The sequence below is a fragment of the Homo sapiens genome, chromosome 3 (genome assembly GCF_000001405.40).
Source record: "Homo sapiens chromosome 3, GRCh38.p14 Primary Assembly".
NCBI lineage: Eukaryota > Metazoa > Chordata > Mammalia > Primates > Hominidae > Homo > Homo sapiens.
The window spans coordinates 129247194-129273639 of NC_000003.12; the positions used below are offsets into that span (position 1 = coordinate 129247194).

General features: G+C 49.1%; 1 protein-coding gene and 1 non-coding gene across 2 annotated transcripts in view; both read left to right on the top strand.

Moving 5' to 3' along the window:
* Positions 1-2412: 2412 nt before the first annotated feature.
* The window catches only part of COPG1 (coat protein complex I subunit gamma 1), a 28168-nt gene continuing 4134 nt past the window's right edge, over positions 2413-26446 (top strand). The window contains exons 1-21 of the mRNA NM_016128.4: positions 2413-2553; positions 3489-3541; positions 5088-5168; positions 5430-5501; positions 5683-5762; positions 7475-7550; positions 7792-7884; positions 8875-8961; positions 10277-10434; positions 10534-10667; positions 13140-13207; positions 13426-13614; positions 16711-16806; positions 18356-18599; positions 19831-19906; positions 20744-20847; positions 21302-21427; positions 21739-21807; positions 24574-24716; positions 25051-25222; positions 25614-25711. Coding sequence (NP_057212.1) covers positions 2517-2553; positions 3489-3541; positions 5088-5168; positions 5430-5501; positions 5683-5762; positions 7475-7550; positions 7792-7884; positions 8875-8961; positions 10277-10434; positions 10534-10667; positions 13140-13207; positions 13426-13614; positions 16711-16806; positions 18356-18599; positions 19831-19906; positions 20744-20847; positions 21302-21427; positions 21739-21807; positions 24574-24716; positions 25051-25222; positions 25614-25711 — 2256 coding nt within the window. The 5' untranslated portion in view covers positions 2413-2516. The remainder of the gene's footprint in view (positions 2554-3488; positions 3542-5087; positions 5169-5429; positions 5502-5682; positions 5763-7474; positions 7551-7791; positions 7885-8874; positions 8962-10276; positions 10435-10533; positions 10668-13139; positions 13208-13425; positions 13615-16710; positions 16807-18355; positions 18600-19830; positions 19907-20743; positions 20848-21301; positions 21428-21738; positions 21808-24573; positions 24717-25050; positions 25223-25613; positions 25712-26446) is intronic.
* On the top strand, positions 24953-25050 carry MIR6826 (microRNA 6826). Its single transcript, NR_106884.1, has one exon. It is a non-coding gene; the product is annotated as a microRNA 6826 (primary transcript).

Here is a 26446-nt window from a genome sequence, read left to right on the forward strand (position 1 = left end):
ATATATGCATGTGTGTGTGTGTGTGTGTGTGTGTGTATATATATATATATGTATATACACTTTTTTTTTTTGAGACAGAGTCTCGCCCGTCACCCAGGCTGGAGTGCAATGGCACGATCTTGGCTCAGGGCAACCTCCACCTCCTGAGCAATTCTCCTGCCTCAGCCTCCCGAGTAGCTGGGATTACAGGCATCTGCCACCATGCCCAGTGAATTTTTATATTTTTAGTAGAGACGGGGTTTCACCATGTTGGTCAGGTTGGTCTCAAACTCTTGACCTCAGGTGATTCACCCTCCTCAGCCTCCCAAGTGCTGGAGGCGTGAGCCACCTCGCCTGGCCACCCCTATGTATTTTTTGAGACAGGGTCTTGCTCTGTTGCCCACGCTGGAAGTACAGAGGCATGATCATGGCTCACTGCAGCCTTGACCTCCCAGGCTTAAGCAATCCTCCCATCTCAGACTCCTGGAGTAGCTGAGACAAGATAAAAATCAGTTTAGTCCTCAGATGTACCATAACTTCCTTAATCATCCCTTTATTGATAGACATTTAGGGTGTTTACAATTATTTTGCTGCAAACTGCTGCAGCAGGCAACTTCATTTTCTTTTTTCTTTTTTTTGAGACAGTTTCGCTTTTGTTGCCCAGACTCCAGGCTGGAGTGCAACGGCGTGATCTCAGCTCACTGCAGCCTCCGCCTCCCAGGTTCAAACGATTCTCCTGCCTCAGCCTCCCGAGTAGCTGGGATTACAGGTATGCACCACCACGCCAGGCTAATTTTTTTTTTTTTTGTATTTAGTAGAGATGGGGTTTCACCATGTTGGTCAGGCTGCTCTCAAACTCCTGACCTCAGGTGATCCACCTGCCTCAGCCTTCCAAAGTGCTGGGATTACAGGCTTGAGACACTGCGCCCGGCCTCATTTTCTTCTTTTGAACAATTTCCTCCTGATTAGGGGTGGGGTTACCGATCAGACATTTTGAACATCTTTCTGACTCTTGACAATTTTGCATGTCACAAGATCTGTTGTCCTTGGCCCTAGCCTCTGCAAAGCCAGACCCTAAGGGCTGGCCCCTCTGACATCTCCCTTCCTCCAGCTTTGCGGTCACCCTTTTCACCTGGGGCCTCTGCCTCAGCCTCCTGCCTCTCCTCTCCACAGCCCACTCCTTCTCCTGCCCACAGGCCTGCGGGCTTCCCCTCCCCAGGCAAGCTGGGGCCGTGTCGCAGCGCTTGGCCATCACGACTTTGCCATTGCCAATGCAATCTGGCTCACTGGCATGCACTGTGCTTACCTTAGCCTCAGGGTGTCCTGCATAGGTCCCCAGGAAGATAAACCCTGGGTGATGTGTCATTTTCCCCTTTCCGTTCCTTCCCACGCCCTTCCCCCCACCTCCCCGCGTAGGCAGCGCATCTAGTTGGCACTCCATAAATATCCAAAGTATTTACAAAATAACGTAGAAGTTCTATGCTGTTTAGTTAGATCTCTTAAGGTTGATAATGTACAAGGCAATTTGCATCAGGAGCAGACGAGATAGGGCCCGGCAGATATAAATTAAAAATGCAATTGCACGCATTCATTCAACGAGAACTCACTGAGCAACTACTATGTGCCAACATTATCCACTGCAGTGAATAAAAGACAAACAAACAAGCAAATAACAAAAAAAAAAACAAAAGAGCAAGAAAGTGGCCGGGTGCAGTGGCTCACCGCTGTAATCCCAGCACTTTGGAAGGTCGAGAAAGGAGGATCGCTTGAGGCCACGAGTTCAAGACCAGACTGGGCAACATCATAGTGAGACCTCGTCTCTACAAAAATTAAAAAATTAGTCGGGGGTGGTGCGCCCAGCTCTACTCGGGAGGCTGAGGTGGGAGGATCGCTTGAGCCCAGGAACTGTAGGCTGCAGTGAGCCAGGATCGCACAACTGCACCACAGCCTGGGCAGCAGAACGAGAAATAAATAAACAAATAAAAGCCAGAAAGTAAAAATAAAGTGTTAGATGGCGATTCGAGCTGAGGAGGAAATCAGGCAGGGGAAAGAATCTGAAAGCGAGGAGTGAGTGGCTGGCAAGGCTCCTTCGGAAGGTGGCAATAACAGTCATAGACCGGTCACATCAATTGGGTGTTTACTGCGGGCCAGTGTGTGCCACCAACCTCACACCCGAAAGCCACAAAGACTCACGCCACAACGCAACGAGGCAGGGGCTCCTCCTCCTCCCTTGGTATACGGAAAGAAGCGTAGGGAGCAGAGTTGGGATGCTAGTCAGTACCCCCCTGCACCTAGCCCTTGCCCCTCCGTCTGGCTTTCCCCACTCCCGCTCCGGCGGAGCTAAGGTTAACATTAGACGAGGCTGTGGCTACCGGAAAGAGCGCAGGCGCAGAGCGCGGAATGCGCCTGCGCAGAGCGCTGGGCGACGTGGCCAGTCGGGGCCCGGAAGTGGTCCCTGTAGAACCACTGTGGCACCGCTACTCCGTGCCGCGCCCGTCGAGCATTGCGTTGCTGCATTGCGCCCCACCGACTCCACTATGTTGAAGAAATTCGACAAGAAGGATGAGGAGTCAGGTGAGGGGGCCAGGCCTGGGTCTGAGGGAGGCCGGACCCCCACCCGCCGAGCTTTCCTTCTGGTTCTCTGTCCTGACCCGGAGGCTGAGGCCCAGTGAGGGGCAGGGGCTTGTGCCAGGGTCCACAGCTAGTCAGTGGCAGGCCTCGGAGAGCCCGAGCATGCGCGGCTGTCTCACTCTTGTAAGCTCGGACTGCAATTTTCTGGGTGACCTTGGGCGCGACAAACACCCCCCCCCCCAGGCCTCAATTTACCCATCTGTCAAAGGAGGGGACCATGCCGAATGTTCTCTTGTTACTTTCTTCGTCCAACCTCTTGGGATTCGCTGGGGCTACGTTGGTGCTGGCCAAACTGGGGTGTAACCTGCGGAGCCAGCGTCCTGTGACTGGGAACTCTGACCCCATCATTCATTTATTCAGCAAAGTATATTGAGCAGTTACTGTATGCCAGGTACTGTACGGTGTCCTGGATACTGCAACAGAGCAAGTGGGACACTCAGTGCCTGAGCTAGGAATATTAGAATGGTTGCACCCACGATGGAGGAGGCAGACATCAACCAGATAATCACACGTGTAATTATTTGCAAATGTGTCATCTGCTATGAAGGAACTAGTTACAACGAGATGGTGGTCCCTGGCACATAGGGACTTAGTTAATTACAAGTTATATAAATGAACACAAGACATGGCACCATGAGAAGCACAGGACTGTACCAGGGCTGCTGGGAGATTGTGAGTGGTTTGGGGTAGAGTGGAGCCCACCTGCTTGCAGGAGACTAGTAGGATCCCTAGACAGATTGTAGAGGCTTGATTGCCATTCCTGAGGAGTTTGAACTTTACTAGATTTCCTAGGAAGGGACATCTTCCCTTTACCTATGTCTGGGAGAGTTTTGAAGTTCAGAGTCACAACCTACCTTCTCCATTGTCCTTGACCGTAGGTGGAGGCTCCAACCCATTCCAGCACCTTGAGAAGAGTGCGGTACTCCAGGAGGCAAGTGACATTTGCTCCCCTCTAGCTTCCATCATAAATATTCACCACCAATGCAACTGAAATACCAACACATTCAAAGTGTTGTTTTAAAGAGCAACACGGGAGAAAACTTGTGCCTGGAAGTTTTCTGGAAGACAGGAAAACTTTGTTTCTGGAGAGAGTTAGTTATGCTTACTTCTTTTTTTTTTTTTTTTTTTTTTTTTTTCTGAGACAGAGTCTTGCTCTGTCGCTCAGGCTGGAGTGCAGTGGCGTGATCTCGGCTCACTGCAAGCTCCGCCTTCCAGGTTCACGCCATTCTCCTGCCTCAGCCTCCCAAGTAGCTGGGACTACAGACGCCCGCCACCACACCCGGCTAATTTTTTGTATTTTTAGTAGAGACGGGGTTTCACCGCGTTAGCCAGGACGGTCTTGATCTCCTGACCTCGTGATCCACCCGCCTCGGCCTCCCAAAGTGCTGGGATTACAGGCTTGAGCCACCGCGCCTGGCCTCTCTATTTAAACATTTAAAAAATTTCTCTATTTAAAGTTAATTCCAAAGCTAAGGAAACTGGTTTAAAACTATCACCTAAGCTAGACTGTGGCCATTATGCAGGTAGAGATTTTGCATGACTTGTTTATTTTTATTATATATATTTTTTATATATATATATATATGTATTTTTTTTTAGAAGGCGTCTCACTCTGTTGCTCAGGCTGGAGTGCAGTGGCACGATCTCGGCTCAACTGCAACCTCTGCCTCCTGGGTTCAAGCAATTTTTCTGTCTCAGCCTCCCAAGTAGCCGGGACTACAGGCGCACGCCACTATGCCTGGCTGATTTTTATATTTTTAGTAGAGATGAGGTTTCACGATGTTGGCCAGGCAGGAGAATGGTGTGAATCCTGACCTCTTGATCCTCCCGCCTCGGCCTCCCAAAGTGCTGGGATTATAAGCGTGAGCCACCGCGCCCGGCCACTTCTCTTTTTTTTTTTGAGATGGAGACTTGCTGGTGTCAGCCTGGGGTGGAGTGCAATGGCATGATCTTGGCTTGCTGCAACCTCCGCCTCCTGGGTTCCAGCAATTCTCCTGCCTCGGCCTCCCGAGTAGCTGAGATTACAGGTGCCCACCACCATGCCTGGCTAAGTTTTGTATTTTTAGTACAGACGGGGTTTCACCATGTTGGCCAGGCTGGTCTCGAACTGACCTCAGGTGATCCACCCGCCTCGGCCTCCCAAAGTGCTAGGATTACAGGTGTGAGCTACTGCGTCCAGCCGCTTCTTTCTTTATTGTTGTCGTTCATTGTTTCTGTTTCCAGTTAGCAGATGGTTGCTAAGTATCTGCTAGTCAATAGGTTAGCACATCCCTAACTAATATTTACACGAGAGTCTAAGAATAATTAGTAGTTGATTAAAGAAAAACAAACCCTTTCCTTATGAAAATAAGCTTGTTGCATACCCAGAAAGCCCTGTTTAGACAAGTCAGTTTACCCTGAGACTTCTCAGACATTGAATATACTTGAAGGGAAATGAACTAGGCTAGAAGGTAACATCTTTGGTCATTTCTTCTTAGGCCCGTGTATTTAATGAAACTCCCATCAACCCTCGGAAATGTGCCCACATCCTCACCAAGATTCTTTATCTCATAAACCAGGTAACAGGGTGAAGCTTGCGGGTAGGGAGAATGGTGCTGGGGGATTGGAGGGGAGTGGACAAATCATGATCACTCTTAGGCTATTGGACAGCCTCTGTGTGGCTGTAGACAACAGCTCAGCTCTGGGTCCCCTCAGCATCCAAGTCTCATATGTTGCCCTTGAGCCTCTTTAGGGTCTGGGGATCTGGTGTGGGCTGATCCTGAAAGAACTGCTGTCTGACCCTCTGTCCCAAGCTGAGACTTCTTTCTTGATTAACACAGGGGGAGCACCTGGGGACCACGGAAGCGACCGAGGCCTTCTTTGCCATGACCAAGCTCTTTCAGTCCAATGATGTAAGTGCCTCAACCCAGCTTTCCTTGAGAGGTGGCAGCTGTAACAAGGTGGTGGGAGGGCCAAAGAGAGCTGGCCCCACCAGTCAGTGTGGGCTGCCTTTGTGGAGACAGGAGGTATCTTCTCCCAACTCTGGCCCTTGGTGAGCCCGGGCTGATAGGGCTTTTCCCACCTATCTCCCAGCCCACACTCCGTCGGATGTGCTACTTGACCATCAAGGAGATGTCTTGCATTGCAGAGGATGTCATCATTGTCACCAGCAGGCAAGTCATGGGGTTGTGGGTGGCTCTTCTGATGGGTTCCATTGACAGACCATTTTTTTCTTGTGTGTACCAGACAGTGAGACTTGGTTGCATATTGCCAGCTGCCCACCCCGTGGCAGCTTCCCTGTTACCACTGCCCACCCCATGGCAGCCTCCAGGTGTGCTGTTTCTATTTTAATTCTCTGACCTTGACTTGGACACAAATGCTTCCTTTTCTTGATTTCTCTTAGTCAACCAAACCAGCTTAGAACTTTCCCAAAGACTTTCTTGAGTATAAAGAGAGAACACAAGAAAAATAAACAAGAGAGTACAAGCGGTATACTGCTTACTAAGTGACTGGTGTCTGCTTTAAGCTAAGCAATTCAGGGACAGATGTGACTAAAGTGTAATCACTGCCCTTAAGAACTGGGGCTCAGTTCTCTTATTTCTTCCTGCCACAGTTTAAGGTTGTGGGGGTCATACATTGATTTGTAGGTTCAGTTAGAAAATATTGTCTGTCAGTCCCTGTGTGTAGCTCTGGGGATATAGCAACAAAAAAGATAGACATGGCCTCTGTAGCCCCAGAATTTACAGAGAAATAACCAGGCATCAGGCCATTAAGGTAGGGTGTAATATAGTTTATCACGGAAGTATTATGGGCTATGAGAGCAGACCAGAAGAGCATCCAGCTTGATTAGAATTACGAAAGTCCTCCCAGAGGAATGATCTAAGTGGAGTCCTGAAGGATGAGTAAGAAATAGTAGGACAGGACAGGCGCAGTGGCTCATGCCTGTAATCCCAGCACTGTATCCACAATGTAATCCACAGACTGCGATGGGTGGATCACTTGAGGTCAGGAGTTTGAGACCATCCTGGCCAACATGGTGAAACCCCGTTTCTACTAAAAATACAAAAATTAGCCAGGTGTGGTGGCGCACACCTATAATCCCAGCTACTGGGGAGGCTGAGGCAGGAGAATTGCTTGAACTGGGGAGGTGGAGGTTGCAGTGAGCTGAGATCATGCCACTTACACTCCAGCCTGGGTGACAGAACGAGACTGCGTCTCAAAAAAAAAAAAAAAAAGCCAGGAGTGATGGCTCATGCCTGTAATCCCAGCAGTTTGGGAGGCCGAGGCGGGTGGATCACAAGGTCGGGAGTTCAAGACCAGCCTGGCCAACATAGTGAAACCCCCTCTCTACTAAAAATACAAAAATTAGCCGGGTATGGTGGCATGTGCCTGTAGTCCCAGCTGCTGGGGAGGCTGAGGCAGTAGAGCTTGAGCTCGGGATGTAGAGGTTGCAATGAGCCAAGATCGCACCCCATTGCGCTCCAGCCTGGGCGACAAAGCGAGACTCTGTCTCAAAAAAAAAAAGAGTAGGACAGAGTGGAGGTGAGGGGTGAGGAATGCTACAGGCTGAGGAAACAGCACATGCAAAGGCTGGAGAGGAGTGAGCATAGCCAGTTAGGGAAGTTCAAGGAGTTACATTCAGGTCACTGGCAGTAGGAAGCTATGGAAACTTTTTAGCAAAAGCAGGGGGATGACCTGTTTGGTTTTGAGTCTTATGAAACTCCCTCCAGCAGCTGTGTGGAGTTAGGCTTGGAGGGGCAGGAATAGAGGGAGAGCACTGGTTAGGAGGCTCGTGTAGTAATCTGGGCAAGGGTGGTGTTGGGAGCTGGAGAGGAGTAAACAGGCCCAGGCTCTCTGCATGCTGACAATGCCTTCTTCCCTGCAGCCTAACAAAAGACATGACTGGGAAAGAAGACAACTACCGGGGCCCGGCCGTGCGAGCCCTCTGCCAGATCACTGATGTGAGTCGTGCCGGTTCCTCCCTGCTTCCTGGCCTCTTGATTGAGGCCTCGGCATCATCTTTTGCATTCTTTGGGGTGTCCCCTATCACTGAGCCAGGTGATGTGGGGTGGAGGCAGTGTGCAGGAGCACATGAGAAACGCTTACTTCCTCCTCATACTCATCTCTGCCCCCATTCCTGCACTCCTGAGAGCTGCCAAGGACTGACTGGATCTCCTTCCACCCTGCTCCTTTTGCCCACAGAGCACCATGCTGCAGGCTATTGAGCGCTACATGAAACAAGCCATTGTGGACAAGGTGCCCAGTGTCTCCAGCTCTGCCCTCGTGTCTTCCTTGGTGTGTAGTTGCTGCTGGAGCCCTGCTGGGGGTGGGGTAGAAAATTGAAGAAAATTTAAGAGTCACATTCCAGTAGGAAAAAAGAAAGTGTTTCTTTCTTTCTTTTTTTTTTTTTGATTGAGACGGAGTCTCACTCTGTCACCCAGGCTAGAGTGCAGCGCCACGATCTCGGCTCACTGCAACCTCTGCCGCCGGGGTTCAAGTGATTTTCTTGCCTCAGCCTCTTGAGTAGCTGGGATTACAGGCGTCTGCCACTGTGCCCAGCTAATTTTTGTGTTTTTAGTAGAGACAGGGTTTCATCATCTTGGCCAGGCTGGTCTTGAACTACAGACCTCATGATCTACCCGCCTCGGCCTCCCAAAGTGCTGGGATTGCAGGCGTGAGCCACTGTGCCTGGCCTCTCTTTCTTCTTTTTTTTTTTTTGAGACAGAGTCTCACTCTGTTGCCCAGGCTGGAGTGCAATGGCTCGATTTCAGCTCACTGCAACCTCTGCCTCCCTGGCTCAAGCGATTCACATGCCTCAGCCACCTGAGTAGCTGAGATTGCAGGTGTGCACCACCACGCCCAACTGATTTTTGTATTTTTGGTAGAGACGTAGTTTCACCATGTTGGTCAGGCTGGTCTTGAGCTCCTGACTTCAAGTGATCCACCCGCCTCGGCCTCCCAAAGTGCTGGGATTACAAAGCGTGAGCCACCGCACCTGGCCAAAATAAAGTATTTCTGTATCTGTAAGCCTGAGAGTCCCACCCTTCTCAGTGAAGACAGCCAAGAAACTCTGGGGTGATTGAAGAGAGTCGTGGGTGGATGGTGTTGACCCATGCCTTGGGGAGGGACATTGAGGGTGGGAGCATCCTGAGTTTGTCCATGGTCTCTGAGGACCAGGACAGTGGCGAGCCCCTGAGCTGTGTCTGAGGGAAGACCAGAACTGGGCCCAGAATGTGTGATGGGGACACTTCCTACCTGCCCCTTAATGTGTCCTGTTGCCCACAGCACCTGCTGAAGTGCAGCTTTGACGTGGTCAAGCGCTGGGTGAATGAGGCTCAGGAGGCAGCATCCAGTGATAACATCATGGTCCAGGTGAGATGTGAGCAAGGGAGTGATATTTAAAACACTCAGGCAGGTGGTAAGGCACTGGCCAGTTGGCATGGACACTTGCCACCGAGATCCTTGTGACCCCTGGCCATAGCAGGCTTTAATCCTTTCGTCATTGGATCATGGGAGGAATTAGGAGGTCCTGGGTTAGAGAATCCAGGGTACCACTTGGGGCGCTTGGGTTACAGACTGCTTACCAGCTGGTGCTGAAATATTCAAGTATTTTGATAACCAGCTGAGTATTGTTTTGGAGCATATGATGTGGCAAACTTGGCCAAGGCAGGCAGAGGGCCGCCTAAATTTAGGCCTTTGCCAGCCTGGCTTTGTTATGATGTGTGGAATTATCTTGATGAGGCTTTCATCCACTTTACTCTTCCTCAGTGACCTAGGACAGCCGTTCCTTTTATCTCTCTGGCTCTTGGTTTCCTTGTCTGTAAAATACGAATGAAGGTTACTGCCTCACAAAGCAGCAAGGACGAGCTGAGATCATGCATGTAACATGTGACCCATCTGGGTCATGAGTGCCTATCGGCGCTCCCTGTGTGTTTATGTATTCCCTTTATCTCTCATCTGTCTTCTCATCCTTTGCACGATTCTTGTCTTCAGGGCCAGCTGTGGCCCCTCAAAACACTTATGAGGGCCAGATAAGCTTCCCACATAGAAGGCTTCCACAGCTGCCATATCTTTGCCCCCAAATGTCGCTCCTTTAGGAAACAAAAGAGAGTATCGAGGACAGGAAATAACTATGAGACCTCACATCTTTAGAAAGGGAGTCTCTGGGCTTCTGGCCCTCCAGGCCTAGCTTTGTCAGTACCAGCCAGGAGTCTTTGGGCAAGTCAGCAAAGATTAAACTGTCTACCTTCAGGGTTGTTGTGGGTAATGCAAGATTTCATGGCTAAGGTGTCCCACACAGTGACTTACAAAACATGACAATGCTCAGGGTCTGGCTCCCACCTTCTCTCTCTCATTGTCTGATTGAAAGCACCAGGTCTCCCACATTGCTTTCATCTTTGTGCTGTTTGTTGTCCCTTTCCATATCTGTATTTATGCTACCTGTTAGGGCTCTTGCCGAAGCAGGGGTGGGAACAAGAACCACAGATATACTTCTGTGGTTTGTGAAGCATTGTGTGGAGGGCTGTGTACACAGAGTACCTGGGGCAGTTGTCACAGCCACTCTGTGTGGTAGCTGCTACTGTGCCCATCTTAGAAATGAGAAGGCTGAAGGACCCACCCAGGGCCACACAGCCAGTATACCCAAAAGTCATACATTTGTACTCTGTTGCTGTCTCCTGTCCTATAGTACCACGCACTAGGGCTCCTGTACCATGTGCGTAAGAATGACCGCCTAGCCGTCAATAAGATGATCAGCAAGGTCACACGGCATGGCCTTAAGTCTCCCTTTGCCTACTGCATGATGATCCGGGTGGCCAGCAAGCAGCTGGAAGAGGAGGATGGCAGGTAACGGCTCTCATCTCTCACCAGCTAGATGATGCCTCACTCATCCTACCATGCTGGGCCACCCCCAACGTTTTCTTGCCACCCTATGTTCTTTTGTAGCCGTGACAGCCCACTGTTTGACTTCATCGAGAGCTGCTTGCGCAACAAGCACGAGATGGTGGTGTATGAAGCCGCCTCGGCCATCGTCAATCTGCCAGGCTGCAGTGCCAAAGAGCTGGCCCCGGCTGTGTCAGGTCACTGGGCATTCCTTCACCCAGCCTCACATGTTTATGCTTGCTGGGAACTAGGCCTGGGTTCCCGGGCTAGGAGAAAGAAAGAAAATGCTCTTAACAAGTGTTAAGGAGTCTGTACCTAGGAAGCACCTGCCCCAGACACTATGCTGAGTCCCCACTTGTATCACGTTTTGGTGGTGGGCTGCTGTTAGTTCCATCTGACTGCTGAAGAGGCTGAGGTAAGGCTCGGGTCCACTCTGGAGCCTGTCAGGTTGGCTGGCCACAGGAGGAGGCCTGGTGGAGGAACCCAGGATCTGTGAAACTGGTGCATGTGAAGTGGGGCTGCACTTTTCCAGGTGAAGGAGAGAACAGTATAGAGGGTCGTTCTGAGCCTCCAGCTCCAGCACTGGAGCAGGGCAGCCTGGGTTAGAGCCCTGGCTCTGCCCCTTACCAACTGGGCAAGCCTGGCAAGGCCGCCCATCCTCTCCATGCCTTCCTTTTCTTTTCTCAGATGTGGATGATAGATCATGCCTATTACATAGGGTTATATAGCCAGAAAATGTGTGATCTAGACAAATTGCTTAGAAGGCAACATGTTTGTTGTTTGCCGTTTGCTGTTTTTTGTTTTTGCTTTTTGAGACGGAGTCTCACTATGTCGCCCAGGCTGGAGTGCAGTGGTGCGATCTCAGCTCACTGCAACCTCTGCCTCCCAGGTTCAAGCGATTCTCCTGCCTGAGCCTCCCGAGTAGCTGGGACTACAGGCGCCCACCACCACGCCTGGCTAATTTTTGTATTTTTAGTTGAGATGGGGTTTCACCATATTGGCCAGGCTGTTCTCGAACTCCTGACCTCATGATCCGCCCGCCTCGGCCTCCCAAAGTGCTGGGATTACAGGCGTGAGCCACTGCGCCCAGCCGTTGTTTGCTGTTATTAAGGGGAATCCAGCAGCCTTGAGTCCTGGAGTCTTTGGTGTCTCCTCTGTGCAGGGCCCTGCTCTGGGTGTGGGAATACCCTGTCAGGGAGGAGAAAGCCTATGAAGAGGTGCAAAGTGGTTGGTACTGGAAAGTGGATATGTTGAGAGGCTAGAAAAGGAGAGGTGCTTAGGGTGAGAAACCTGGATTCAAAGTGGAAGAGAAGAGGGGAGTGTTTTAGAACAGGCCCATGGAAAGCAAAGATGTTGTGGCAGGAGAGTTAGATTTGCAGGTTTTGAGAAATGATTGGGCCTCTTGTTTTTCTATTATTCTCTACTATAACAGTGTAAACTTGGTCAGGCAAACAGATGGAGTTCATGTTTGGAGAGAGAAGTCTCCTTTCCTCCTTAGAAATGAAGAAAGAATGAACTGCTGGGCACGGTGGCTCACGCCTGTAATCCCAGCGCTTTGGGAGGCCGAGGCAGGGGGATCACCAGGTCAGGAGTCCGAGGCCAGCCTGACCAACATGGTGAAACCCCATCTCTACTAAAAATACAAAAATTAGCCGGGCGTGGTGGTGCGCATCTGTAATCGCAGCTACTCATGAGGCTGAGGCAGGAGAATCACTTGAACCTGGGAGGTGGAGGTTGCAGTGAGCCGAGATCGCGCCACTGCCCTCCAGCCTGGGCGACAGAGGGAGACTCTATCTCAAAAAAAAAAAAAAAAAAAAGAAATGGAAAAAGAACTAATGAATTCAGTCACTGATTTGGGTATTCATTCATTCTTATTATATCCCCCATATTTCCAGAATAATGAAAGATGTAAATAAAGTAGGGTCTTCAAAATAAGCATTAAGAAAAATTTTTTTTGAGTATTAGAGAATAAAAGCCAAGTTATGAAGAAAGGAACATAGATATTCCAGAAAACAGTAGTCATCTTCGCTCCTATGATTGAGTGCCAAATTTAGCTCTGAGCTTCCGGGCAGCCAGGGCAAGGGAGGGATATGGTACCCGAATGGCTCTCATCTAGTTAAAGGAAATAAACCATTTGTTTAAGAGAGGACTTTGTTCTTCAGCACTTGGTGCCAAGGGGGAAGTTCTGTTGGATCCTGTAGACACAGTAGGAGAGAGGAGTGGAATATTACTTCACAGAGGTTAAGGGCTTAGGCTGCAGGTGCAGGCAGTCTTGGAATTTAATCTTGGTTCTGCCACTTACTGGCTGCCAACCTAAAGTTTGTTTGCTTTCCCCTTTGTGCCTCAGTCTCCTTATCTGTAAAGTGGGCTAGTGGTGGCTGCAAGCTATAGAAGTGAGGCATGTCCACTGTATAGCACAGCACCTGGCACACAGCAGATGCCCAGTGAATAACAGCCCTCACTGGAACCCCTGGGTGCTCACAGACATTATGGCCTCTGTCCATGGCTCAGGTGCGCAGGGTGAGGGGAGCTCTGTGTCTTGGGTTGGGATGGGGGTGTCAGCAGGGAAATGAGCTGAGCAGAGGGTTTGAGTCAGAACAGTAGCCCCCGGTTTTCCCAGCTGCCCAGCAGTGAAGGCAACCTGACATGTGGCATCCATCTCCCCACAGTGCTCCAGCTTTTCTGCAGCTCACCCAAGGCTGCTCTCCGCTATGCTGCTGTTCGTACCCTCAATAAGGTAAGAGTCCAGCTTGGGGGTTGGAGGAAGCTGTCTGATCCAACTGGAGGTGTGTCCTAGCCTCTGACCTGGCTGGGAAGGATAATAGCCCTGGTCACAGTTAGTTTCTTCTAGATGGTGAGATGATCTCATCCAAAGGACTTCTGACTGGGCCAAACCATCAAATGTAGTGACAGCATTGGGTTCCTGCCCTCTCTGTCACTGTCCTCCCAAAACAGGTTGCCATGAAGCATCCGTCAGCTGTGACAGCTTGTAATCTGGATCTGGAGAACCTGGTCACAGATTCAAACCGCAGCATTGCCACGCTGGCCATCACCACCCTCCTTAAGACGGGCAGCGAGAGCAGCATCGACCGCCTCATGAAGCAGATCTCCTCCTTCATGTCAGAAATCTCGGATGAATTCAAGGTACCTGCTACCCCCAGGACACCCACGGCCCCCAGAGGAAGGAGCTCTGTCCCTGCTCTCTGTGGCCACAGCCTTCCTGCCAGGACTGACCTGAGGGGCTGGTCAGCCTTGAGGACTCAGAGGAGGCCAGCAGTTTGCTCTGCAGAGACTTGGCCTTCCGAGAAATGTGCGTAGTCCTGCCTCCAGGCCTCCATCCATATCGTCCCCTTGTACTGAAAGAACAGTAGTTTCCAGGCCAGTTAAGGGTTCATTGATTTGTTGTCCAAGTATTTCTTGAGCACTTGCTGTCTGCTATGTAGAGTGACAAAAGGGGAACATAGCAGTGAACAAAGCAGGTGACTGCCCTCCTGGAGCTTCCTTTCTAGGGATGGGAGAGGAACAGTAAACAGGTAAAGAAAGGAGTAGACGAGATCATCTCAGGCATGGGTACTGCAGTCAAGAGTGTAGAAATACAGCAGGGATGATCCTAGGAAGAGCACAGTCTGGGAAGGCCCTTCTGGAGGGTGACATTTGAGCTCAAACCTGAATCAGTGCAAAGAACCAGGAGGAAAGGCAGGAGCAAGTCAAGGAGAGAGAAGGCCAGTGGGTGGAAGAGCTGTGGGGCCAGTGCAGGTGACAAAGTCAGAATAGACAGGGCTCAATCATGTAAGGCCCATGGTCAGGTAAAGAGTTTTAATTGCAAGGAAGACATTGGAAAGGTGTTCTTTTGGGGCAGGAGGAAGGATGTGAATATTTTTTGAGCTTATATTTTGAAATAATTCATAGGAAGTTACAAAGAAATATACTGAGAAGTCCTATGCACCCCTCCATCAACCCTCTCCTACAGTGCCAGCATCCTACACTAGCACAGGACAATGTCAACCAGGAAAGTGACACTGGCATGACCCATAGAGCTCATTCAGATTTCACCAGCTACACAGGCAACTCCTGTGTGTATATATGTGAAGTTCTATGCAAGATGTCATGTGGAGACTTTCAAAATTGCCACCACAGTGAAGACACTCAACTATCCATCTCCACAAGACTCTTGTTACCTCTTCATAGTCAGGCCCATTCCTACCTCTCTATTCCCTAACCCCTGGCAGCCATTAATTTGTTCTCAATTTCTGTAATTCTGTTATTTCACAATTGTTAATTGATAGAACAATGAAGTATGTCACCGGAGAGTTTTAATCAGAGCAAACAATAATATGAATAATATATTGTGGTAAATTCTATAGTGTGGATTATGCAAAGTAGGCAGCAGTCTACTCTGCCTGTGGGTTACAAGAATGCTTTGCAGGCTGAAATGACACAGTGAGATTTGCATATTAGATCCTTCTGGGTCTGGGCACGGTGGCTCATGCTTGTAGTCTCAGTGCTTTGGGAGGCCAAGGAGGGAGGATCACTTGAGGCCTGAATTTTGAGACCAGTCTGGGCAATGTAGCAAGACCTCATCTCTACAAATTTTTTTTTTTTTTTTTGAGTTGGAGTCTCGCTCTGTTGCTCAGGCTGGAGTGCAGTGGTGTGACCTCAGCTCACTGCAAGCTCCGCCTCCTGGGTTCACGCCATTCTTCTGCCTCAGCCTCCTGAGTAGCTGAGACTAGAGGCACCCGCCACCATGCCCAGCTAATTTTTTGTATTTTTTAGTAGAGACGGTGTTTCACCATGTTAGCCAGGATGGTCTCGATCTCCTGACCTCATGATCAACCCGCCTTGGCCTCCCAAAGTGCTGGGATTACAGACGTGAGCCACCGCACTCGGCCTACAGAAAATTTTTTTAAAAATTAGCCATGTGTGGTGATGCGCACCTGTAGTCCCAGCTACTCTGGAGGCTGAGGTGTGAGGATCACTTGAACCCAGGAGTTCGAGGCTGCAGTGAGCCATGATCATGCCACTGCACTCCAGCCTGGGTGACAGAGTGAGACCTTGTCTGAAAAAAAAAAAAATTGGCTGGGCGCGGTGGCTTATGCCTGTAATCACAGCACTTGGGAGGCTGAGGTCGGCAGATCACTTGAGATCAGCAGTTTGAGATCAGCCTGGCCAACATGGTGAAACCCTGTCTCTACTAAAAAAATTAAAAAATTAGCTGGTGTAGTGGCTCACACCTGTAGTCCCAGCCACTCCGGAGGCTGAGGTAGGAGAGTCGCTTGACCTGGCCTGGAGGTGGAGGTTGCAGTAAGCCGAGATCGTGCCACTGCACTCCAGACAGAGCGAGACTCCGTCTCAAAAAAAAAAAAAAAAAAAAAGAGTCCTTCTGGAGCAGAGTGGAGGGGTGACTGGGTAAAGAGACTGTTGGAGTAATTCAGAAGGAGAGGATGGTGCCTGAACCGGCGGGAGTAGGAGAGGTGGGACAGTGCAAGAGCTTTTTGAGGGATAATGCCTGTTGGCAGGGTTGGTGTGAGGGTTGAGGGGTGGATGTCAACAGAGATGATGCCATTTTCTACTTTGAGCTGACAGTGGTGCTCTTGACTAGTTTGCAGGGGAGGAAAAGATGGGGTATTGGATGAGGGAGGGGGAAGGAGATGGAGATGTTTGTGGTTGCAGACATGTGGAGTTTGAAGTGCTGTGGGCGCCAGGTGGAGTTGTCTGACAGGCAGTTGGAAAAGGCAGGTCTTAAGCTCAGACAGGAGATAAATATTGGGAGTCAGTGGCATATAAGAGGCGGTTAAAGCCATGGGAGGGGATAAGATTGCTGAAGAGACTGTGAGAAGAGAAGCGGCCAAGGACAGAATACCCCAGAGACAGGCTTAACCAAAAAGGAGCCAGAGGAGATGATGGGTGGGAACCATCAGTGGGAGCCAGTGGTAGGGAGAGAAGCAGGACAGGTTGGGTGGAGGGGACTCGGAGACTTAAGAAGCCTGAGTAGAAGAGCAGAGTTTGGGGAACCCAGAGTCTGAGAGTCTGACACTGGGGCTGTTGGCACTGCCTTGGGTGGGCTCAGGGATTGTGCCCTTCAAGCTTCAAGCGTGGAGTTGAGTTCCTCTGGTCTCCTTGCCCTTGTGTCATGCCCAAGGCCTGGCCTTACCTAAGGAAGGACTCAGTGGGCACTCAGGGAACTGAGTCACCCCATCTTGGTGGCAGGGCCTGCTGCTCATGCACGTCTATTTCATTTAGGTGGTGGTTGTCCAGGCCATCAGTGCCCTGTGTCAGAAATATCCTCGCAAACACGCCGTCCTTATGAACTTCCTGTTCACCATGCTGCGGGAAGAGGTAAGAGTCAGGGGCATTCGGGGGATGCCAGGTCTCCTGGTGCAGGGAGTGACCTGACCACTGGCTCCATGCTCAGCTTTGTGCGTGTGCTTATGTTAGCCTGTTAACCAACTGGTTTTCATGGTGCCTGCAACCCTTTAAACTCCTTGTGGACATGTAAACACGTACCAATTGCTAGTAATTACAGTAATAACTATGACTCACCAGCCTGACTTTAAAAACTGGATGTCCTGAGGTGATGCTTGTGCAGAAGATGGGAAAATGCATGTTCTTTTCTGGTGGACTCTAGTGCAGAAATATTCTAGACCATTCCAGGAGCTCTAGGAGTGGTTTCTTGTGAAACCGGTGCTAATAATACGACATTGGTTCTATTTCTGTTCCCGACGTGAATTACTGATTCACTTATGCCACCTTTCTTGGACGTCTCAACAAAATGGGTTAATTCTTAGGAGCAATAGCAGATGTTCATGGAGTAGATTTGTTCCTCAGATACATGGTACCCCTTTCACCCAGCCCCAGAGTGGCCCATGGACTAGGCAGTAGAGGAGCCATTGCCTTGAGTGTCTTTGCGTTTCCCAAGAATGTTGTTGTAGAAGGGCACTAATGTTTAGTGAGTTGTCAGCTAATGGGCCCAGCACTTTGGTGATTGTGTTTGTTTTTTTTAAGTAGAGATGGGGTCTTGCTGGGTTGCCCAGGCTGGTCTCAAACTCCTGGCTATAAGTGATCTTCCCACCTTAGCCACCCAAGTTCTGGGATTACAGGTGTGAGCCATCATGCCTGGCCAGGCCTAGCACTTTGGAGACACTGTATGCATGATAGCAGTTTTTTTTTTTTTCTGTTGAGTAGGAGTCTCGTTCTGCTGCCCAGGCTGGAGTGCAGTGGTGAGGTCTTGGCTCACTGCAACCTCCACCTCCTGGGTTCAAGTGATTCTCCTGCCTCAGCCTCCCGAGTACCTAGGACTACAGGTGCCCCCCACCACGCCCGGCTAATTTTTTATATTTAGTAGAGACAGGGTTTTACCATGTTGGTCAGGCTGGTCTCAAACTCTTGACCTCAGGTGATCCACCCACCTTGGCCTCCCAAAGTGCTGGGATTACAGACGTGAGCCACTGCGCCCGGCCTCCATCTGTCACCCAGGCTGGAGTGTGGTGGTGTGATCACGGCTCACTGCAGCCTCAACCTCCTGGGATCAAGCAATCGTCTCACCTCAGACCCCCAAGCAGCTGGAATTATAGGCATGCACCACCATGCCCAACTAATTTTTCTATTTTTTGTAGTGATGGGGTCTCTCCATGATGCCCAGGCTGATTTCGAATTCCTGAGCTCAAGTGGTCCACCCACCTCAGCCTCTCAAAGTGCTGGGATTATAGGTGTGAGCCACTGCACCTGACCAGCCTTTTGTTTGACAGGAAAGAGTGATAGAGGCCCAGAGAACCAAGTGCCCTGTCTCCAAGTTCTGTGTTTGGACAACTGTCCTTGGTCCAGCTCAGGTCTTCAACTCTTTTCTGGAGAGAGCAGGCTCCTTGCTTAGCTCAGCTTCTCTCTGCAGGGTGGCTTTGAGTATAAGCGCGCTATCGTGGACTGCATCATCAGCATCATTGAAGAGAACTCAGAGAGCAAGGAGACAGGGCTGTCACATCTGTGCGAGTTCATCGAGGACTGCGAGTTCACAGTGCTGGCCACCCGTATTCTACATCTCCTGGGCCAGGAGGGGCCCAAGACCACCAATCCCTCAAAGTACATCCGCTTCATCTATAACCGAGTGGTCTTGGAGCATGAGGAGGTCCGGGCAGGTAGGTCTGAGCCAGGGCTGAACTTGGAAACTTAGCTTACCCTTGAATAAATGTCCCAGCAAAGGGACCTGAGCCTCCAGTGGGGATTTGTGCACTCAGTGTTCTTGCTGCACAAGCTGTTTTTCATAATATTGTAGGCAGGACCTTACATGTCATCTAGTTGAACAGTTCTTTGTTTTTTGTTTTGTTTTTTTTTTTGAGATGGAATCTCGCTCTGTCACCAGGCTGGAATGCAGTGGCGCAATCTCAGCTCACTGCAACCTCCGCCTCCCGGGTTCAAGCGATTCTCCTGCCTCAGCCTCCCGAGTAGGTGGGACTACAGGTGTGTGCCATCATGCCCAGCTAATTTTTGTATTTTTAGTAGAGATGGGATTTCACCATGTAGGCCAGGATTGTCTCGATCTCTTGACCTCATCATCTGCCCGCCTCGGCCTCCCAAAAGTGCTGGGATTACAGGCGTGAGCCACCGTGCTCGGCCATGGTTCTTAACCCCTATAATTTTTTAAGTATTTTTTTAATTGAGACGGGGTCTTGCTATGTTGTCCAGGCTGGTCACGAACTCCTGGGCTCAAGCTATCCTCCTGCCTCAGTCTCTGAAAGTGCTGGGATTACAGAGCCACTGTGCCTTGCCTTAAGTGATTTTTTTTTTAACTTTCACTGTATGTTGATGTTTAGCTAAAAAACAAAAAGCTTTGTTGAGATATAATTCACATGCCATAAAATTCACCCATTTATATAAAGTTTACAATTCAGTGAGCAACCTTCCTATTCTTTATTTTTAATTTCTTTTCATGCCCCCACTGGACAGATTTTCTTCTTTCAGCAATAAATGATCTTTAAGTAATTGTTCCCTTTCTCATTTTTATTATTCTGAGCCTTAACTGCAAATTGACGCCATTTGGATATGGAAGGTGAGGAGCTTTACATTATAGCCAGCTTCTGTGACCTCATCATGGTTAATTTGAAATTAGCTCCTGGAACCTTAGAATGGGAGCTACTAATCCCATCTGGCGCCCTTCTCCATTAAATAGATAAGGAAGTTGAGGCCTGGGATGGTGCCAAGATCCACCCAAAGCCACTCACTCTGTTGGTAGTGACTTTGGGCCTCCTGGCTTGAGACTTCTTGCCTCTGGGGCTCTTCTGCCTGAAGACCCATTCTGAGTGCTGGAAGTGCCCAAACAGTGAGTTGTCAGGGTGCATTGGGTAAATCACATTCGCTTCCTAAACACAGGTGCTGTGAGTGCTCTGGCGAAGTTTGGAGCCCAGAATGAAGAGATGTTACCCAGTATCTTGGTGTTGCTGAAGAGGTGAGTCTAGGCCCAGGGGCCCTAATGGGGACAGTGTTCCCTTGGACCCAAGCAGCTTTCCTTTGTCTTTATTTTTTTTTAACTGAAAAGGGAGAGAAAAGTTATACAGCTACTGATTGTAGAAAAAAAAGAGAAAGCATAGAAAAGCATGAAAAACAATGCTGTGCAAATTGCACCAACCAGATGTGACAATTGGTAACTTGAATTATTTTGTCCATTTTTTAAAAATAGCTCTATTGAAGCCGGGCATAGTGGCTCCCGCCTGTAATCCCAGCACTTTGGGAGGCCAAGGCGGGCGGATCACAAGGTCAGGAGATTGAGACCGTCCTGGCTAACACGCTGAAACCCCGTCTCTACTACAAATATAAAAAATTAGCCAGGTGTGGTGGCGGGTGCCTGTAGTCCCAGCTACTTGGGAGGCTGAGGCAGGAGAATGGTGTGAACCTGGGAGATGGAGCTTGCAGTGAGCCGAGATCATGCCCCGCATTCCAGCCTGGGTGACAGAGCGAGACTCCAGCTCAAAAAAAAAATAGCTCTATTGAGATATAATTCACATACCATACAATTTACCCATTTAAGATGTGTAGTTTGATGGGTTTTAGCATATTCACAGAGTGATGGAACCATCACCACAACCTGAGTTTAAAACATTTCATCACCCCAAAGGGAACTCAGTGTTCATGAGTGTGGCCTCTCCTCACTCCCTCCACCCTCCGCCTGGGGCCACCACTAGTCTACTTGTTATCCCTATGGACTTACCTCTAATGAAGCCATGCAGGATCCCTCCTGCCATCCCTGCTGGGTCCCAGTCAGGACCACCTTGTGTCCTGGCTGCAGGTGTGTGATGGATGATGACAATGAAGTAAGGGACCGAGCCACCTTCTACCTAAATGTCCTGGAGCAGAAGCAGAAGGCCCTTAATGCAGGCTATATCCTAAATGGTGAGTCATTCCCTGGCTATCTTGGACTCAGCACCTTACTGGAGCTGTGGTTCTCATCACTCCCTGGGCAGGGGAAATCAGAGGCAAGATGCTCTTGGCTGGACTTGCCTGGCAACCTCATGGCATCATGGTGACCTCAGGAGGTCCCGGGTCATTCAGGTCACACCTGAATTGGGTGGAAATTGTCCAGTGAATTGAAACGCTCATCATTAATAAAAACTTTATTTTTACAGTACTTTACCCTTTACAAGTCACTTTGTATATATGTTTATTCCCCACACCTACCCTGTAAGGGAGGATGTGTCTGAGAATGCAGAGGCTTAGAGAATAAAGTGATTTTCTCAGGGTCATACTACTTAGGACTTGTAACTTCGGGACCCCAGGGCCTCCATGGTGGTCCCTGGTGCACATTTTGCTCTATCTGCCAGGCATGGTGACCTCTCTTCACCTCCAGGTCTGACTGTGTCCATCCCTGGTCTGGAGAGGGCTCTGCAGCAGTACACTCTAGAACCATCAGAAAAACCTTTTGACCTCAAGTCTGTGCCCCTGGCCACGGCGCCCATGGCAGAGCAGAGAACAGGTAACACTTATACTCCTCCCAGAGGCCATCAAGGCCAGGCCTCTGTTGGAGGGTCTGCATTGGCTGCAAAGCCACTAACCTAACTAGGGTGGGTGGCAGTTATGCTGGGAGGAGGAAATGATCTTTTCCACCTCTGGCTCCAGAAAATAGAGACACACATACACACAGACGTGGGCTCTCTCACATGTCTTCTGCTTCCCACTCTCAGGAGGGTTAGTATTTATAATCCCTGAGTAATAGCACTGGGGTCACCACCACACTGCCCCGTGACTCCAGCTGTTGGTCATCACGTGTATAATTTGCTCCTGCAGAAAGTACCCCCATCACAGCAGTCAAACAGCCTGAGAAAGTGGCAGCTACCAGGCAGGAGATCTTCCAGGGTGAGTCACAGTGGTTGGGGGATGCTTGGGACCTGGGCTTAGTTTCCTCAGGGGGTTCAAGAGTAAGAACTGTCATATATTGGTCTCTCCTGAGTGCTAGGCCCTTGAGATGCTTTAGACCTACTATCACATTTGACCCTCAGGTGGTGGTTGTTGGGTTCCTTCAATATCTGAGGAATTGGAAGTTCAGAGAGAGAAAGTAGTAGGAGGGGCTGGAATTAAGGTCCCGATCAAACTGGCTCAGTGCTGTTACTGGGCCTCAATTTGGAGGGCTCGGGTCCCTGGAGCCCAGGCCAGTTCAGAATGTCTGAGAGAGCAGTGCTGGGATTCAAAGACACTGGTACTTTTTGTCGGGTTCCACGTGTGTTCTGTCCACATTGTCTTGTAAGGTTTTCTTCAGGTATCCATCTGTCCTCTGGTGTTGCATTTTTAAGGGGAGAGGCTGTGTGTCTAATTGCAGATTGTTTTATCCACTGAATTCAGTAGATAAAAGCATAGACCCCTCTTCCTTCATGGGCCCTCACTTCCATCCTAGCTCTTCTGTCTTCTCTTAAACAGCCCTCTGTGCTAAATAGTTCTTCACATGTTCTGTCTTTTATTTTCTGCGTCTATCACAGCACTGAGCCCAGTGCCTTCCTTCCTCACAGTAGGCTCCCAATTAATGTTGAATTAAATGAAATCCCCCCTTCCCCATTACACTCAGAATCATGTCTTATATCAATATAGCATGGATCCTGAGCTAATTGGGATCGCTATAACATGAAACTTTCCATTTATATCAGTTTTCTATTGCTGCTGTAACACGTTACCACAAACTTAGTGGCTTAACACATTTATAACCTTATAGCTCTGCGGTCAGAAGTCCAAAGTGGGTTTCATTTGTTAGCAGTGCTGAGTTCTTTCAGGAGGCTCCAGGTATTGCCCCCTTGCCTTTTCCAGCTACTAGAGGTGGCCCGTATCCTTGGCTCGTGGCCCCTTCCACCGTCTTTAAGGGCCCTTCTAGGGCAGAAGGTCAGAGTAGAGTGATTTGAAGAGGCCACACTCCTGGCCTTTTCAAATCTCTCTACTCTGACCTTCTGCCCTAGAAGGGCCCTTATGATTACACTGGCCCCCCCTGGATAATCCAGGATAACCCCTAGCTCAAGATCCTTAATTTAATCACATCTACAAAGTCCCTTTTACCATGCAAGGTAACATAGCTGCAGGTTCTGGGAATTAGCATGTGGGCATCTTGGAGTCATTATTCTGCCACACCTTCCAAGGAAGTCTCCTAAGCCGCTTAAAGGGTAACAATTCCATTTTTAAACAATCATCCAAAAGCCTCACATTTACTAATCACATACATGTTCAGTTCCAAGAACTTTCCTAGATCTTGAATTTATTGCCTCATTTGTCTTTACAACAACGCTGTGATCAAGATAATGATATCAGTTTTATTGATGAAGAGTCTGAAACCCTACCAACAGAATCCCCCAGGGAGTAAGTATCAGGCCCAAAACTCTGAGTCCCAAGAAAATAAATATCAATAGAAAAGCACTCTAGTGGTTGATGGTCATGGTGGCCCAAAAGTTCCTCCTAATATCTAGCCTGGATTGTTCTGGGCTTTTTATTGCCTGCATATTCATTAGATTCAGTCTTCAGGCTGCAGAGGGCTGAAGTGGTCACATAGGCTGACTTTTTGTGGAGGAAAAAAGCAAAATAATAAAAATAAGGCCTACCTTTCTCTATGTCTGAAACGTGAATTGAGTACCTTCTAAGTAAAGGGAAAAATATCAGATCCATGGCCTCAAAGCACAATCCCTGTTCTCATGGAGTTCAATTAATTGGGAAGACAAGTTGAAAATCTTAGAGCAGTGGTCTTTAAATATCAGTATATATTGGAATAATCTGAGGAAACATGTTAGAAATGCAAATTCCTTGATCCTGAAACCAGAGATTCTGATGTAGTAGATTTGGGATGGAGTCTGAGTTTTTAGCAAGCTCTGCCGCCAACCCCTAGTAATTCTGATACAGTTGATCCATGGTCATAGTGCGAGGAATCCTGCCATAGAATAGGTACAAGAGTGGCAGCTGTAGCCATTATAGGTGGACACCATGTGCACACATCTGCCAGATGCCTCATTCACTTGGGTTATTCCCTTTAGTTTGCAAGGAATGCCAGGACCAGCCAGGGTGGGGTCCCATGGGCCTGTGCTTGAATCCAGTGCTTGAACCTGGGCATAGGGTGTAGGGATAGGTCTTACCAGACACAAACAATTCTAAGTTAGGTTTTCTGCAACACTCTCATTCTGAAATATCTCTTTATTGGCCATTTGTCTTAACTGATAAATATATAGGACCAGTTTGTTATTTTGTCTGATTTTGTAGCTATAGCAGTATCGATCTTATTTTCCTAATTGTCACCTTCTTTTAAGAATCCTTGCTGCGGTAGGGGGCGGAAATCCTTGCTAAGCTTCTATAGCTGGGGGATTCTCCAATTAGGTCTAGGATTTTGTGGTCTCATATCAGTTTTTTGCTTCTGAGGTCTTTCATGGTACAGAGATGGGGAGAGTATTTGTGGGGGGTTGTGCCACATGAGCGAAGTCAGGGAGATGAGAAAATGCATGGATATATTCAGGAAATAATGAGTAGCCAGTTGGGTAAACATATCTATCCATCTAAGGTAGGGTGGAACACCTTGAGAATGGTCATGGGAATTTATTAGAAACCATCAACAAGTTGGTCTGGGGATCGAGAAGCTGAGTGAATGTGGCCTGTGGATTTCAGAGCAGTTGGCAGCAGTGCCAGAGTTCCGCGGTCTTGGGCCCCTCTTCAAGTCCTCGCCTGAGCCCGTGGCCCTCACCGAGTCAGAGACGGAGTATGTCATCCGCTGCACCAAACACACCTTCACCAACCACATGGTTTTTCAGGTGAGCAAGGTGGGCTGAGGCCCTGCTGGGGCATGCGCCCAGGGAGTTGTCCCAGGTCTGGCAGGTCCTGTAGGGTCATGGGTCCCCACACTGCATTGGTTGGGAGCCCAACTTGATGACAGAATCTGTCCCCAACAGGTCGGTCTCTCATATCTCTTGACTCGGGACATCCATGGCTCCCGATTGTCAGCATGAAGACAGGGAACCTGGGGCAGGGGGACTGGGATGGGAATCACCTTGGTCAATAGGAAAGAGGTGGGACCTCCTGGCTTTTCCTCTGCAGCATGGCTCGGACCTAGTGCAATGTTTAAGCTCCCCTCTCTTTCCTGTTCAGTTTGACTGCACAAACACACTCAATGACCAGACCTTGGAGAATGTCACAGTGCAGATGGAGCCCACTGAGGCCTATGAGGTGCTCTGTTACGTGCCTGCCCGGAGCCTGCCCTACAACCAGCCCGGGACCTGCTACACACTGGTGGCACTGCCCAAAGAAGACCCCACAGCTGGTGAGCCCCTCTCCAGATACCACCCTATCCTCCTGGGAGCTCATGGGGTCAGGAGGAGGTGGGCGGCTGGGCACCAGCTGTTTGCCTTCTATTAGAGCTTCAGCTCCTTGATTTCAGTCCCAAGAAGAAGAATAGCTGAGTCCCAAGTGCTCTTCTTTAAAAATTTTTTTTTTTAAAGAGACAGGATCTCACTAGAACTCATGACTTTCCTGTCCTACAAGGTGGCACCCTCTGTCCAGCTTTGTGGGATTGGATGGCTTGTTGCTGCTACTAATAACATAGCAGGGGCCTAGAAAGCAGGCTGTGACCCCTGCCTGCTTGTCCCCTGCAGGAGGAGCCCATCCCCTGCAGGCTGGGGACATCCTAACTACCCAGCCTCTCTTCCCCACAGTGGCCTGCACATTCAGCTGCATGATGAAGTTCACTGTCAAGGACTGTGATCCCACCACTGGGGAGACTGATGACGAAGGCTATGAGGATGAGTATGTGGTAAGATCCTGGTGTCAGGAAGCTCAGTTTTGTGCTGAGGCTGCAAAGCAACTCCCTTCAGGAACTGACAGTGAGACTGGAGCTGTTTTTGGCTTTTTAGCTCTTTAAAATTTTATTTTTTTATTTTTATTTTTTGAGATGAAGTTTCTCTTTTGTTACCCAGGCTGGAGTGCAGTGGCGCGATCTCGGCTCACTGCAACCTCTGTCTCCCTGGTCCAAGCGATTCTCTTGCCTCAGCCTCCCAAGTAGCTGGGATTACAGGCGCCCACCACCATGCCTGCCAAATTTTTTGTATTTTTGGTAGAGATAGGGTTTCACCATGTTGGCTAGGCTGGTCGCGATCTCCTCACCTCAGGTGATCCACCTACCTTGGCCTCCCAAAGTGTTGGGATTACAGGCGTGAGCCACCGCGCCCGGCCTAAAATAACTTTTTAAACTTATGGAAATACATGTTCATGTGTAAAAAGAAAACTTGGGAAATACAAAAACAAAATTCAAAACAAAGTATGAACAACAGGAAAACATTACTCATAATCCTTAGAGTTATTTTTGGGGGGAAGTGGTATAATTGAAATCATTCTTACAGTGTAGACCTTGCTATTTTAAAACCATAGTGTATTTTCCAGTATCATTACAAATACTTCATAAACACAATTTTTTTAGTGGATTTAAAATACTGTTATATACTATGTCAAAACTTGATTGACTTTTCACTCCTTTAATGTTGGGCATTTG